The sequence below is a fragment of the Homo sapiens genome, chromosome 1 (genome assembly GCF_000001405.40).
Source record: "Homo sapiens chromosome 1, GRCh38.p14 Primary Assembly".
NCBI classification, from domain to species: Eukaryota; Metazoa; Chordata; class Mammalia; order Primates; family Hominidae; genus Homo; species Homo sapiens.
In genome coordinates, this window is record NC_000001.11 from 214067851 (window position 1) to 214085029 (window position 17179).

Here is a 17179-nt window from a genome sequence, read left to right on the forward strand (position 1 = left end):
GGGAGCGGCCGCTTCCAAGCAGGAGAGAGGGAAGGCAGCGGCCATGAGGGTCTCAGAATGCAGGCAGCATGGCATCCTTGGACCGAGAGCCAGAGCTTGAGGTGGTGGGGGCAGAAAGGATGAGGGGGCTAGGAAAGTGAGCAGATGACAAGGCACTGGTGGAATCTCTGTGTGTGTGTGTGTGTGTGTGTGTGTGTGTGCGCATGCACGTGTGTGTGTGTGTGTGTGTGTGTGCTGGGGCCAATGAGGGTTTTGTTTTGGAAATAGTCTCTTGTAAGTTTCAGCTGCACATTTGCATGGACTTGTGGGCCAGGAGGGAAGTGTGGTATAGTGAGCATGTGCACGGCCCCTTGAAGGTGAGTTGAGTGAGTTGGGAGCACAGAGAAGGGAGGGTGGTGGGAAGTTGTGAGGCTGGGAGCCTGTGGGAGGGTGGGAGGCTGCCAGGTTAATGAGTCCAGTGATTGATTCTGCTGCTTCAATACACTTGCCCTTCGTATGCTGCCTGACGGCAAGTAGCCATTAGGTGTGCCCGGGCTATTCCTCCTTTCCCACTCGGGGTCAACCAAGGCAAAGCAAAGCTAACCTCAATATTGATAGAAACCCACTTTAGCATGATGAGGCTGACTGATAATTATTTAGAGGACTGGACATTGACTTCTTGCACAATGTTGAATCTATTAAAGAACACAAGACTGTGTGTATCTTTCTATTGTTTTCCTGTTTTAGTGGGAATTTTTATCATGTGACCATTTAATACTCTCTAGAAGTCCTGTATGTTTAAAAAGACAAAAACAATACTATATTTTAGTGAAAATGATTATTATTATTAAGGTATAATTATTTGCAGTATATAAATAAGTGAATTGTATTCAGTAAACACCTCTTTTCGGCCAGGTATTACCAAAAACAGAGGGAGATTCAGCCCTTGTTTACCTTGTAGGAAATAGGATGAAACAGCAGTTGATTTTTGCCAAACAACTGCTTATTTTGAACACCATCAAAGGAATTGGTTAATAATTGTTTGAAATTATTGTGTGAGACTAAGTGGATATTGGTATATTTTTTTCTAAGCTGGCTTATATGTATAGACATGACCCGAGGCATCAGACAAACAAAAATACATACACACAAGCATGTTATTGCTATTTAGTATTGGGGATGTGCATATGTCATGGTGTTGTTTGTTTTCTGTCAGGGAGAGGATCAGATTCTTAACTCTTCCAGGGAACTTGACAAAAGCCCTGGATTAAACCCAGAAAGTTGTTTGTCCTAGAAAAGACTTCCAGCCTCTTTGGGGACAAGCACCCTGTTATAACCCCTGGCATCCTGTGACATTCATTCTGTACACAAATGATGCTTATGGACAGAGGGGGTCACTGACCCCTTGAAATCACTCTGTAAACTCAGCATGTCTGGACCCCAAAGCTGGCAGCCACTGCTGCACGATAGTGAAAGTTCTAACATCCACTTTTAACTCCAATTCACTCTAGAGCCTTCATAACTTCAGAGATATATTAATCCCACACAGTGATGTATGTGAAAGTCAGTTCTCTTTGGTTAAGAACTGTTCATGATCCACTCAGGTAAGTATTGAAATAGGGTTGAATTTCCTTAAAACTTACTCACTGACAACCTGGGGCAGATGACCAGGAGAGTTCTAGGTGGGGCAGGGAAACAGGTGTGGAATCAAATATTTGCTAAAATATTTATATTCTAGCTTTTAAAAATTGATTATTTTACCCACCTATGTGATTGAGATTCATCTATATTTTTCCCTCTGCTCCTGATAAATATCCAGATTTATCTTAAAATGAAGAAATTTCTAGGAGGCAGAAGTAAAGAGAAACAAGGAGAATTCCAACTAGATGTTGTATAATTTTTGTATCTACTAAAGAGAGAACAGCAGATGCAATTTTGAAAGCCAAATTATTGGAAGAGGGGGTGAGAAGACAAATCAAGACTCAGTTGACATTGATGATTACCCTGATGTACAGTTTCCAGTTCATTTCTTTTTCCGAGGACATCGTGGCAGTAAGTGCCATTGCTCTTAAGGGGTTTGCCAGTATTTCTGTGAGAAATCTCCATCTTTTCTGCTGGAGGTTTGCTATAACTTGGCAATTTGTAAGCACGTTGGGCTGAAGTGTGGCATACACATTGTCAGTCCAGATGCAATTTTCTGTTGCAATTACCAAAAATGAAATCAAAGAAGCTGCTTGGGATTTTAGTTTACAGGGATGTTGGTGAAAGAGGAATATTTGTATCTCTTGCAAATTTTTACTCCTTGATTTTGTTCATCTTTATCTCAGACCAACCTCATGTTAGAAAAGCTCAAGTTGAAACACACTTCAAAAAATCAAAGTAGGTTTCATTTTAGAACGCATTTTTGTTATGACACAAATGGGGTTTAAGTATGGTTTTTACTGGTAAAAGTTGAGAGCAGAATGTACGCTCTCATCCTAGGTATAAGGTCTTTGGATTTTCCCCAAGTGCTGCGGAACTCTCCTCATTCCTGTGGTTTTCCCCATGATTCTTCAGGTTCTCTGAGTGCCCTGCATTTTGATCTGCATTGGTTAATTGGTGAACAGAGACACTGTCCGTGGAAGCCATTCTGTACCAGGCCCCACATAATGTTACCCACGCTCATCCTACCAACATGCAGACCCAGCAACCACTCTTGACTAAAGAGGCAAGTTTCTTTAACAATTGGCTACACAGATATTTCAAGTGAATCGACTAAATCAACTGATTCCTAGGATTTTGTAGACTTGAAGACACATTATTTCAGTCATGCTGAATGAATATTTATGAAATGAAATAGGAAGGAAGGGATCACTTGAGCCATCACTGGCTTGATAAAGACTCTTGGATTTCATGACAGAACATTTTTCATTGACTTCCACGGGGTAGACTGTGTCACAGAAATGGAGTTGCTTTTTAAAGATAAAGCTCTAACTTTTTCATATACTCAGTTTTTCTCAAACCAAGGATGAAAATCCCCAGGAAAAAGGATAGCAGTTGACTTCTGCGGGAGCCTGGCACATAGGTGTACAGTAAATATTGACTGGAGAGAAAAAGGAGCCCCAAGAAATGGACTGTGAAATTAGGAGGAGCTCTAAATCATTGTGCAACTTGGAGATGTATCACCACCCCTTTGGCTGTAAGACAGTGCTGAATACTTTTTCTTAGGGAATCCCAGGCAACAGGGAATTCCTCAGAATCCTTTCTCATCTTGATATTGGAATCCAAGGGGTACTTTAGTAAGATCGAACAACTTCAAGGGAAGAAAGAAAAGGAGGGCATCAAAATACCTTGGCTTCTCCCAAGGCAAGAGCTGTCCTTTCTCAGCTGTGTGGTCTGACTAGGTCCCAATATTGAAATGCTTATGAGAAAGGATAATGGTCCCGCTTGAATCCCTGGAAACTGCTAGTGGTCTGGCCTCAAGGGGATTCTTCCATCAGAGATTTATCCCATCCTGCATTGATTCACTATTCTATACTTTCTCCATTCCATTCTTCAAAAAAAAAAAAAAAAAGAGAAGAAGAAGGGGAAAAAAACAGAAGAATGAAGAGCTATAGAGAGAGACGGAAAAATTAGCAACTCTTGCACATATTCATGGGCTTCCATTTTCTTCCTGATCTCATAGATGTCTCCTCCAATCACCTTGTTCTCTGACATGCTGAGCTGAAAGGCATTTGAGGAGTAGCAGAAAGAGAAAAACTTTGTCATTGCTGACAAGACACACTGCAGCATCTGGGGTGCTCCTCGGAGACCTGTGGCCAGGCTAACCTGGCCTCATATTGCTGAGCTTGCAAAACCTGGAGGATGAGGTCACATTTGGCTATGACTATAAATAGACATCAGTGACAACTAAAACCAAGAGGGATCTTTAGCCTCTGATTCACAGGCTGACATCTCTGAACAAAGGAGTGGGTCATGCATCATTATCTAGAATTCTCAAGAGGAGCAAAACACTCTGGAAGGTATTTGGGTACCCTCTTTTTCTTGCTTCCCTTGAAGTCCTTTGATCTTATTAAAGTAGCCCTTGGATTCCAATATCAAGATGAGAAGAGATTCTGAGGAATTCCCTATTGCCTGGGATTCCCTAAGAAAAAGTATTCAGCACTGCCTTACAGCCAAAGGGATGGTGATACATCTCCAAGTTGCACAATGACTTTATACAACTTTATATAATACATTATCTATTCACAGTGAGACCTAACATGGTAACCTACCACCCCTACTGTCCCTCAGAGTTACTTATACTGCACATCATTCATTATCTTCCAAGAGCCCACCCTTACCTAACCACTTAGGAGGGCTGAACGAGAGTGAAATCACTTCCCTCACTTCCAGCACAGCCTGTAAGAACCAGGGTCCAACCATCTGCAGTACCTGTTCATAGACAACTCAGCAGAGGTATTTGTCTTCCAAATCACAAAGAGAATTCACACGGGGAGCCAAGGTTCTTCCATTTTACGGAGTGGCAGGATCGGCTGCCTGGGAGTCATCCTTCCATTTTCCCAGAAGCACAAGCTGCTGCTGCTCTCTGAGACTCTGAACTCTCCTTCACCTGAACAGCAGTGTCAACCTGCATTGGTGAGAAAACCGGAGCCCAAGCCCCGATTTCTAACATTAATAACAGTAGCCAAGCAAAGGCTGTTCAATCAGAAAATGCAAGTTAAAACTCTTTAAAAAAATGCCATCTGGACTAGGAAAACATGTCATCTTTCAGACTACGCACGGCATCAGTGTTTTTCTTTTCACAAATTTAGCACTCTTCCTCCTCCCCCCTGCTGCCTCCCTCTGCCTCCCCCTTCACCCTCTCTGCAGCTCTGTCATTTGAGAAGCCCTGTCTTCACTTTTCTTCGTATTTAATTTTTCATATCATTCGCAGGACAGATCACATATTTGTTGTGATTTATTCAATACCCATCGCTCCTCTGACTTGGGAGAAGGCTATCACCTTCCCCTCCTGTTCTGGGAGAATCTGCTAAGTCCACAGTTTGTGATTTTTTTCATCATCCATGTGCTTAAACAGTCGGGGGAGACTGTCTCGAGATTCTGCAGGTCCCCAAAGCTGCCTCCCACCCATCCCATCCATGATCTGCCCACTCAGCATTAATTCTAAGGAGGAGGCAGAGTGAGCCTGGACTGAAGACCCTGTGATGTGACTTCATTGAAAACGGGAAACTCATTTATTTCTTTTTGTTTATTCCTTAAGAATGAAGGTAATTGTATTTGCTAAAATGTGTATAGCTGTGTTTAACCCATTTATGCCAGAATTTACAATTTTTGTGTGTGAAAACTCAGACCTTAGCGATGACCTTGAGCAGTAGGATATAAATAATTCCTATAAGCTTAGAGTTCCAATAATGGAACACTAGGCATAAATGAGTTAAGGTTTGCCCTAACATGCTGGGGACACTTAAGTAGTAGAAAATTAAACTTCTCTGCCATTGCATTTAATCATAATGGCTCACTTAGTAGTAGGTAGTGGCTCCATCTCCAAAATGACAGAGTATTCATATTCAGAGAGGCAGACAGACAGAAACAGAGACAGAGAGAAAAAAGGAATATACGCAAACACCCAAACTACTGATGTAGGTCAGTTGTCTCTTAAGATTTATTTTAGTAAGAGATCTCAAGAGACCAAAAGGGGGAAAAAATCCATGATCTGGATGTAAGCAAATATTTATGAGACTCAGTCATGTGCAGAGTCCTGCTGGGGAAACCAAAAAGAATAAGCCTCAATCCAGATGATGCCCATCACAAGCTAGCACAGCAAACAAGGGACCAAGACACACCATTTTTTGTTACACATATTACCTTCCACCTTGCTCATTGTTAGTCAGGCACGTGTTTTAATTCTCTCAATGGAAGGCAAATTGTATAATGGCAAAATCCATAACCCTAACCACAATGACAGGCACCAACAGGAAGAGGATTCCCAATGAATTACATAGATGGATGGTCACCTAGACCAGAAATCTCACCAGGAAGGCCAGGTAACTCTCTGTGATCCTACGGAGGAGAGGCCATGGGAAGAGCATTCAGAAATTCCATCCACTATTGTTCCTGTCCTTTCAGGGCACCGCCATCTCCATTGGCATCTCTCAAATGACTGCCATGCCACCACAGTCCCTTCATGCCTACGCACATATAATAGGATTGTTTGGCCAAGGCTGTACCATGATATGCAAACTCCAGGCTTCTGTGTACCCCTAACACTTTGTTTGCAATCCATTTTAAGCCTTTGACTTGTGACTATTCCCCAGTTTGGCTTCTCTGTGGCTTGTATTCTTCAGCCATGTTCCTTTCTGCAAAGTCATTAGAAGCAGAATCTCAGTATCTTGAGGTTTCCTTTTGTCTTCATGCTTAGAGTCCTCCACATCATTTTTTGAGAACCCTTGTCAATCCACATGAAGTGTAGAAAAATCAACCCCGCTACTGACTATATGGTCTTGGGCAAGTTGCCCAACCAGCCAATGCCTCTGCTTTTCCTTTCTCTAAAATGGAGGTAATACTTGCCTCTTTCCTACCTACACCATAGAATTTTGTGACACTGAAATGAGATGAAATTATTTGAATGTGTAGGAAAACGGTAGAGTGTTTTACAAAGGCAAGGCGTGACTCATATCCTGAGTTGCCCAGGGATTTATTTTGTGACATTGAGAGTCTCCTTTGACATTTGTGGGTCTTTGTTTTGCCCACCTATCAAGGCAGAAATTTGCTTTGAGATCTTGAGCAAAAGACATTGTCGTACTACAAATTACCATGATCTAATTAGGCCTCCCTCCATAAATCTGTCATTTGAAAGCCATTCAGGCCTGCTCAGCCCAGCCTTTGATTTAAACTGCTCCAGGAGTCTAGCTGAAGATATGTCCAGGACAGAATCCAACACAATATTCTGGTCTCCTCCCACTGCTCCCTTGAGGATGGGCTGTTCACCAATTTTGGCCACAATAACAGTTATGTAGAAGAGAGATGCATTATAGTTTGGGCATAGATCTTAACCAGTGCCCATGCAACCTCGTGACAACATTATTTAGCATTCACATTGGATGTGCGCTCTTATTGGGAAAAGAATATTGCTAAAGATTAGCATTGCTGGGCCCTTGAAGCAAAAAGAGTCAGATAGGAAAGATGCGTATTTTCTCCTTTGAACTGACAGATGTATCCAGCATCCCCTAAGTATGATGAATACTTTGCAATGACGTATAAGACAAAACTAAGGCTTTTAAAAAAATGCTGGTGCTGGCCAAATCAAATAATAACCATTCCTGGTTGTTCTGGTTGAAGAAGATAAAAAAGAGGCTTGGAAAATCCAAAGCAGTGGGTAATTTAAAACTCATTTATATGGGGCTTCAGAATGTGTGTTTATATCCGTCTTTGACGATGCATGTCTCTGAGGTTCTGGGAGTCTGTACTTAACAATGTAGCAGGATCACCATGTCTTCCCTCAGGAAAATCTGGGAAGCAGGAAAACCTCCCCACCTTTCCTCTGCTCATCCCCTTCTCCACCACTGCCCTGTCTGCTGTCTCACTTTTGCCCCACCATCCTAAAACACACACCTGACACTTTCACCTGAATATCTTTTTGCCTTCATTCCAGGTTGTTTGAGTATCAAAGAAATGTTCTGTGTGCAAAGCAAACACAAAGAGGTGGAATATCAACAAAGCATTATTAAATAGCTAATGGACTTATATTCTCTGGAGGAACAGATTCTGGACTAGGAGAACCTGACTCTGCACACACAAAATCTACCAAAATATGCCTCCCATAACTTTCTTTTACAAGTCAGAGCAGGGTAAGGTATAGAATAATCGTGTGACAGATGATAGTATATGATTGACGATGGGGTGAGGTAGGACTTGTGAAAATCCCAGGAAACGATTGGGTAATTTTATCAGGGATTGAGGAAGGAATCAGCACTTTGTACAGCTGTGAATGGGAAAGGGGGAAAAGGATGATATCAGAACCCCTGGAAATCCCTAGGGACCTCAGTGGAGTTTGCCCCCTACCCTGGGTGGAGGTTTTGCTAGGCAGCCTTTGGTTCTAATCAGCTCACACCAACGTGAAGATTCCAGTATTTGTCTAGCGCTGAGGGATGAGGTGATTAGGGAGGAGGAGGGCAGAGAGAAATGAAAATAGAAGGATCAGAGGAAAGAACGAGGAAAGAAGGGGGAGAGGAATTAACCAATAAAGGGCCATTTCAGCTTCCCCTTTCACGCGGGTTCAGATTAATGGGGGAGGCGCGCGCCCACACACATCAAGGAGAGCACAGAACCAAGCTTTTCAAGCAAAGCCTCACAGGAAGGAAAGTCTGAGGAAACCTGAGCAGGGGCTTGAAACCGTACTAAGGAAAGGGGTCAAATTAATGTTTTCAAAATAAAAAAAGGCTGAGAAGAGAACAGTGAACAGGGTGGCCCAGGAGGTCAAACAGCACATTCAAGTGTTTTATTGTTGCTATCAAAAAGATGCTGGGAAAGGAAGAGGAAGAAGGAAAAACGCTTTCAAGTTTTAAGTTCCTTTTTTCTTTCCTCAAAAAGAGGCATTTGAGAGACCGAGCTGAGGATTATTTTCGTCTATTTTGGGAGACGATGCTGGTGTCATTGGACTCCAACCAGCCAGGGAGTGAAGAGGGAGGCAGCCGAGTGTGAGCCTGAATTTCTGAGGCTGAAGGTGGTGGCGAAGTGAGCATGGGAGCCTGGTACAACTGGGGCAGGCATGTGTGCAGAGGGGAGCAGCGGCCCTGATACCCCCAGGCGAACTGACCAAGATGCAGGCAGAGCTGTCGGGTTTTGGCTGTTTCCTCCAGCTCTCTCCAATCTCAAGAGGAAAAAAAAAAAAAAAAAAAAAAAAAACAAAAAAAAAAAACCTTTCCCGAAGAACACTCCGGACTCAATGCCAACCTGAGACAGCTGCTGATGTGGAACAACAACATCAAGGACTTACTGTCCCTTCCTGCCCCTCCTCCTCCACCACCACCACAGAAAGGACTGTGAAAAGACCAAGAGTTGGTGGGCGGCCAACAAGAACTAAAGAACTTGCAGCTGGTAAAACCACCTGTGCCTTGTCAAATTCCAGCCAAAACAATCCCTTCCCCAGAGTCTCCCGTGAAGGCGAAAGGGAGAAAATCTGATAATAAGATGGGAATCAGGGGAGTGGAAAGTGAGTGTGGCAGCATCCGGCCATGCACCGAGCCAGTTGGGAAAGAGAATATTGGGAAACTATGCCAGTTTGGAGCAATATGGAGGTCAAAAATCCAGCCCTGTGTTCCTGAGAGAGAAAGGGAGCAACAACTGTATGCAACCAAGGCAGACAGTCCAAGCGCAGAATTCAGCTTTCCTGATGGGCAGCGCTTTGCAGCACCAGGGCTGATGTCTGGATCATAGTAGCATGAGTTCAAATGCTCGGTGCCCATGGGAACATTCCAGAAAGGAGCCCCTTGCCCTTCCAACTGCAAAACCCAAAGCCGTGCAGTGGTTAAACAGTCCCTGGTTGCATTGCTTATCTGTAATTTATAGTCTACCTGGCCAGTGTCTGTTCAGAAGGCTAAGGTCCCATGGCCAGACCTCATAAAATACGCATGAACAACCATGATCAAGAAGATATTAAAGGATCACACAGAAACCACACATCTTTGAATGCAATGCATGCTTAGATGCAGTCTCTAATGTGATTTCCTCCTCTTTCAACCCCATTTCTTTTCTTTCATCTCCTCACCAGAAATGAAGCTACCATAAGTTTAGTTACTATTCTTCTAGCTACAGTGTTTAAAAGTAATCACCCATTCATCTGAAGTGCTAATAATGCTGGGCCTAAAATTAGAAAGTTCTCCTTGTCCTTTGAAGATTGGCTGAATCGCTAATATTATCATTGGCCAGGTAATGTTGGCATGAACGAGAGTTGAATTTTTGCTGACATCCCTAGCTGAATTCCACAATCACAGTTGATAACTATTAAAGATTAGTAAGTCATTCCCTGTGTTAAAACTTCATTTTCAAAGTATTTATTTATTCAACTGATGACTGCCATGCCCTGTCGCTTTTTATTTAAAGCATCCAAGAAAGTGCTGTGATCAGAGGATGGCGAGAATGAATGAACCTCGTGGTCAGTATCCACTATAAACATCAAAAGCAATAACCTGTCATTTATCATGGGAAAGAGTGGTGCAATTGGTCATCACAGAAAAAGAGGGTTTTTTTTCCCTAGGATTAAAATATTCAGTTTTAATTACAAAGGTGAATCTTTATTCCAACAGATTCTAATAAAATACATGTTTACTAAAAGTACCCCTCCTCAATAGAACTTTTTTTTTTTTTTTTTTTGAGATGGAGTCTTGCTCTGTCCCCCAGGCTGGAGTGTAGTGGCGCGATCTAGGCTCACTGCAAACTCCGCCTCCCGGATTCACGCCATTCTCCTGCCTCAGCCTACAGGGGCCGGCCACCACGCCTGGCTAATTTTTTTGTATTTTTACTAGAGACGGATTTCACTGTGTTAGCCAGGATGGTCTCGATCTCCTGACCTAGTGATCCACCTGCCTCGGCCTCCCAAAGTGCTGGGATTACAGGCGTGAGCCACCGTGCCTGTACAGTACTTTTATGGTATTCCTGCCCAAAATGGATAACTTACATCTAACGATGAAGAAACACCAAACAAACCTAAACTGGGGAATATTCTAGAAAATGACTGGCTGGTACTCTTCAAAAAATGTCAAAATCAAGAAAGATACAGAAAGGCCGAGGAACTGTTCCAGATTAAATGAGTCTAAAGAGCCATGACAACTAAATAAAATGCGTGATCTGGGATCATATCCTGAACCAAGGGGAAAAAAGATATAAAGGAATTCCTGAGAAACTTGGTGAAATTTGAATATGGATTCTGTGATAGCATAATATTAATGTTTAATTTCCTGATTTTGGTATTTCATTGTGGTTATGTAAGAGAATGTCTTTGTTCTTAGAAAATAAACAACGGAGATATTAAGAGGTAAAGGGACACAAAATCACCAACTTACCCTCAAATGGTTCAGAAAGAAAGAATAATATGCATGCATCTCCGAACTTACGTATAGACAGAAAGAATGACAAAGTAAATGGGGCAAAATGGAAACAGTTAATCTGGGAACACTGGTATATAGGAGGTCCTTGTACTATTCTTACAACTTTTTAAGTTTGAAAGGATATTTAAGAAAAAAACCTCCTTCAATTCTCTGTCTCAGAGACAGCTATTTACATATTTGCAGTTCAATGCATATCCTCTGTGGTAGGTGCTTCTAAGCCGGTTCCAAATGCCTCCAACCTTCTGGTATTCACGCCACTGAGTGATCCCCTCCCCTTGTGTGTGGCATGAAGCTGGTAACTTGTTTCTAACAAATAGAATACAGCAGGTAATTGAATAATGCCCTTTTCTTCAACATCATTGTATTATAATGTTAATGAGGAAAAAAAAATCAATTCCTGGCCATCGCCACTGTCTGTGTGGAGTTTGCTGTGCCTGTTAGGTGCACTGATGTGTCTATATAGTCTTAGTGTGAGTGAGTGTGTGTGAGAGTGTGCCCTGCGATGGCATGGTGGCCTGTCCAAGGCTAGATCCCCCCTTGATCCTTGAGCTGCCCAGACAGTCTCTGGTCACCCCCGATCCTGAAGTGGAATAAGCAGGTTGGAAAATGAATGAACGAATACAAATTATTGTAAAATAAAATTCATAGTCTCAGATAATCATACAAATGCACGACCATAAATGATGTGGCATGAAAGTGCTCTGCCCACCTTCCCCTATTTGTAATTTTGTAATTGCTGAGGTTTTTAAATGTTTTATTTTAGGTTCAAGGATACATGTTGATAGGGTTTGGCCATGTCCCCACTCAAATCTCATCTTGAATTGTAACTCCCACAGTTCCCACCTGTCGTGAGAGGAACCCAGTGGGAGGTGATTGAATTATGGGCCAAGTCTATCCTGCACTGTTCTCATGATAGTGAATGAGTCTCACAAGATCTGATGGTTTTAAAAATGGAAGTTTCCTTATACAAGCTCTCTTCTCTTGCCTGCTGCCATGTGAGTCGTGCCTTTCACCTTCCACCATGATAGTGAGCCCCCCCACCCCTCCAGCTATGTGGAACTGTAAGTCCAATAAATCTCTTTCTTTTGTAAGTTGCCCAGTCTAGGGTATGTCTTTATCAGCAGCATGAAAACAGGCTAATACACATGTGTAGGTTTGCTATATAGGTAAATGTGTGTCATAAGGGTTTGATGTACCGATCATCACCCAGGTACCAAGCCCAGTACCTAATAATTATTTTTTCTGCACCTCTCCATCCTGCCACCCTCTACCCTCTGGTGGGCCCCAGTGTCTGTTGTTCCTCTCTTTGTGTCCATGTGTTCTCATTATTTAGCTCCCACTTATAAGTGAGAACATGTGGTATTTGATTTTCTGTTAATTTGATAAGAATCATGTCCTCTAGCCCCATCCATATTTCTGTAAAGCACACAATCACCTTCTTTTTAATGGCAGCATAGTATTCCATGGTGTATATGCACCACATTTTCTTTACCCATGCTTCCACTGATAGGCATTTCAGTGGATTCCAGGTCTTTGCCATTGTGGATAGTGTTGCAATGAACATACACATGCTTGTATCTTTATGGTAGAATCATTCGTATTCCTTTGGGTGTATACCCAGTAATGGGATTGCTAAGTCGAATGGTAGTTCTGTTTTTAGTTCTTTGAGGAATCACTACAGTACTTTCCACAATGGTTGAACTAATTTACACTTCCACTAACAGTATATAAGCATTCCTTTTTCTCTGCAGCCTTGCCAGCATCTGTTATTTTTTTACTTTTTAATAATAGCCATTCTAACTGGTGTGAGATGGGATCTCATTGTGGTTTTGACTTGCATTTCTCTAATAATCAGTGATATTGAACTTTTAAAATATGCTTGTTGGCCGCAGGTATGTTTTCTTTTGAAAAGTGTCCATTCATGTCCTTTGACCATTTTTCAAGCAATTGCAACAAAAACAAAAATCGGCAAATGGGATCTAATTAAACGAAAGAGCTTCTGCACAGCAAAAGAAACTATCGACAGAGCAAACAGAAAAATTAGAGAAAATATTAGCAAACTATGAATCTGACAAAGTCTAATATGTAGCATCTATAAGGAACTTAAATTTACAAGAATAATTGCTGGGTTTTGAACTGCATGGTGATGGGAGCTTACAATTTTACTTGGCAAACACTTATTCCTTGGTGTAACTCACTACAATGACTGCCATAACTCACAGTCTCACCAAAACTTGGGTAAATCATTATTTCCCCCCTCCCTTTTTTTTTTTTTTTTTTTTGAGATAGAGTCTCACCCTGTCACCCAGGCTGGAGTGCAGTGGCACAATCTCGGCTCACTGCAACCTCTGCCTCCCAGGTTCAAGCAATTCTCCTACCTCAGCCTCCCATGTAGCTGGGACTACAGGCATGCACCACCACACCTGGCTAATTTTTAAAATTTTTAGTAGACACGGGGTTTCACCATATTGACCAGGCTGGTCTTGAACGCCTGACCTCATGATCCACCCACCTCGGCCTCCCAAATTCCTGGGATTACAGGCGTGAGCCACTGCACCGGCCCTTATTTTACTTTTTAATAATCTTTCTTAAATAAATGTATAGCCCACATTTATTTCAATGTTTAAAAGTAGAAAGGTTTTGGTCTTTGTTTAGAAGCTTGGTGATGTTTTTGTGAGCAGAAATATGCCTTAGGAACTTAATTCTTGTTTATATCAATTAGCCTATGGTAAAATTGGTCTAATTATACATCGTTTTGCTTAAAGTTGCAGTTTCCAAGAACCTATGGACAACGTTAAGTGAGGACTTACTGCACTGCAAAAGTGATGGATGTTACTTTCAAGATTAGGTTATGAAAGACTGTGACTTCCATCTGCTTGCCCTCTCTCTGGGCTCTTCTCACTTGTTCACTCGGAGGGAAGCTGGCTGTCATGTTGCTGGCTGCCTTACAGAGAAGCCAAGGAAGTGAGGGCAGCCTCCAATGAACAGCCTTTGAGAAATGTGGGACCTCAGTACAGCAGCAGACGAGAAACTAAATCTTGCCATCAACCACGTGAATGAGATAGGAAACTGATCCTTGAGATGCTGTAGCCCCAGCCAACACCTTGACGGCTTTGTGACAGACCCTGAGCCAGATGATCTGGTTAAACTGTACCAGGAATCCTGACCCACAGAAACTGTGAGATCATAACTATTTGTTGTTTTAAGATGCTAAGTTTAGGAATTTTATTTATTTATTTATTTATTTATCTCACTCTGTTGCCCAAGCTGGAGTGCAGTGGCATGATCATGGCTGACTGCAGCCCCAAATCCTTGGGCTCAAAGGATCCTCCCACCTCAGCCTCCCTAGTAGCTGGGACCACAGGCATGTGTCACCACACTCAGCTAACTTTTTATTTTTTTGTACAGATGGGGTCTCGTCATGTTGCCCAGGCCAAGACATTTTTATACAGTAATAGATAACTAATACATTCTCCAACTTTCTTTACTAGTTTTTTATTTTTTTCTTTTCTTGGGGGGAAGGTATTAATATTAACAGTATCATGGATAGCCTTCCATGTCATTATATTTAGTGTTATTGCATTTTTTTAAGAGGTGGATTGCTAAATACTGTTCAGATTGTGAATTGCAAAGGAGCACCTGGCAAAGGAAGGTAACGAGGATTAAAATCCAGCCCACACTCCACTCACCAAATGGTGCATCCTAGCATGTGCCTGGTTCACCCAGAGGAGGGGATCTTTTTTAAAAATTTACACAAACGTGGCCTCTGGGCTAGTGGCAGCCCTGTTAACAGTCATATAATATTCCATGATATGAATGTACTATAATTTAGTTAACCAATCATCTTTTTGGCCATTGAGATTGCTTCCTGTGCTGTTACTGCAAACAACCCTGTAATTAGTAGCCTCCTTGTACAAAGATATTTATATTCCTGTACAAACATTTCTGTAGTAAAGATTCCAAAATAGGATTCCTGGACCATAAATTATGTCCATCTTTAATATTGATAGATTCTGACAAATTAACCTTACTACAAGTTTTACCTGTTTATACTCCCAGCAAGTATAAAGATGTTGCTTTTTTCCTTACCCCTCACTGACACTGGATGAGATCAATCTTTTAAATATTTGCCGATCTGATACATGAAAAATTTTATCTCACGGTTTTATAGATCATTCATAGCAAATCAAATATTGTTAACTTTCTTTTCTCTGGGTCAGGACAATTTCATTGTTATCTGAGTCGATCGGTCTTTTTCCTCAAATATGTAGGCAATGTTGAATAAATCTGTTAGAGATCAGAGAATCAAATCCTACCCAACCAACGTCCATTCACTTCGTCCTATCTCTTATGTGAAATGTTAGTAGGAGAGAGAAATACAACACCTAGTGAGTGTAGTTAAGGGTAAGGTTTCAGCAAAGGTCTTCTAGCACTTGACTTTCTGATCATAAGTCTCAGTAAAAATCTTGTTGACTCTTCACCAGATTTGCTTGTTTAGCCACCACCACCCCCTTTGCAAATAAGATCACTTTCATTCAACTATTTTGACGTAGGTAGTATGAAGAGAACCAAACGCTAGTGAGAATACCAAGGCATTGTAAGTCTTGCTTTTTTACTAGATGTATGTGTTAGTCCATGTTGTCAGACAAGCAGACACCAAGATGAGAATTACAGATGTAAAGAATTTTATTAGGGAAAAAAGCCTGTGGTAAAAAATGGTGATGGAACCAGGGAAAGCCAGACAGTGTTGCAAGGCTGGCCCAAGGGAAGGGAGAGAGAGTAGTTTGGGTACAAATATCCTAGACTGCCATGCAGCCTAAAAATGTTTCAGCAAGACTCAGAGAGTCCTCAAAGCAAAGTCAGTCATAAGAGGGGTCTGTTGTCTCCCAGGGTCCAGCCTATCTTAGTATCCCTGCCACACTCAGTCACTGGCTGGGAGAAGCCAGTGGAAAGAGCAGCCTCGGTGTGATAAATTTCAGAGAACAGCAGCCAGGGTCCTTGATCAATTACCCTCTGTAGGGTTGGAGACCTACCAGGCTCATTGTCAAGGATGCCATCGCATATTATCAATAAGCTAATCTGCAGACAGAACCTCAGTAGAATCATAACAATAGGAAATAGAATACTTGTGCTTCATTTCTAGTTTGTTGTTTTCATAATGCAACTGCTTGCCTTATTCCCAAATAATAAAAGAAAGCATTTCTATTTGGTTGATGTGATGCTTAATACTGAGTGTCAACTTGATTGAAGAATGCAAAGTATTGTTCCTGGGTGTGTCTGTGAGGGTGTTGCCAAAGGAGATTAACATTTGAGTCAGTGGACTGGGAAAGGCAGACCTATCCTTAATCTGGGTGGGCACAGTCTAATCAGCTGCCAACATGGCCAGAATAAAAAGCCAGCAGAAGAACGTGAAAAGACTAGACTGGTTTAGCCTCCCAGCCTACATCTTCCTCCTGTGCTGGATGTTTCCTGCCCTCAAGTATCAGACTCCAAGTTCTTCAGCTTTGGGACTCAGACTGGCTTCCTTGCTCCTCAGCTTTCAGACAGCCTGTTGTGGGACCTTGTGATCATGTGAGTTATACTCCTCAACACACACACACACACACACACACACACACACACACACACACACACATATGTGTATATATATATAAAATAGGATATATATATACATGTATATGTGTGTATATATATATATATATATATCCTATTAGTTCTGTCCCTCTAGAGAACCCTGACTAATACAGTTGATGATTGCATAACTTTCCTAACTCCCACGGAATAAAGATGAAGATTGTAAAACAGAAATAGCTGGAATTCTATGTGTAAGAAACAATAAATGAACAGGAATTTGGGGATGGAGAACAGCAAAGAAGAAAGAAAGCTGGAGAGAAAGAAGGTAGAAGAACACAGTAGCAACCAAGAAATCCTCAGAGGCAGGTGGCCAGGGAGAAAATCCCCATGGAAGGCCAGATGAAGGATATTGAAAAATAAAAATGTCTAGCAATCAGAATAAGGGCTTTTTTTCTGCAAAGCATCAGCAATCAGATATACAAATTTTCAATTTCCTACTAGATTTTTAAGTGCTAGATTTTGGAAGTGGGGGCAGGGAG

At 41.8% G+C, this 17179-nt stretch overlaps 1 long non-coding RNA gene across 1 annotated transcript in view; it reads right to left on the bottom strand.

Moving 5' to 3' along the window:
- Positions 1 to 17179, bottom strand: part of LINC02775 (long intergenic non-protein coding RNA 2775) — a 58251-nt gene that overhangs the window by 13938 nt on the left and 27134 nt on the right. Inside the window, exon 2 of the long non-coding RNA XR_922584.2 lies at positions 4393 to 4588. This is a non-coding gene — a long non-coding RNA (long intergenic non-protein coding RNA 2775). The remainder of the gene's footprint in view (positions 1 to 4392; positions 4589 to 17179) is intronic.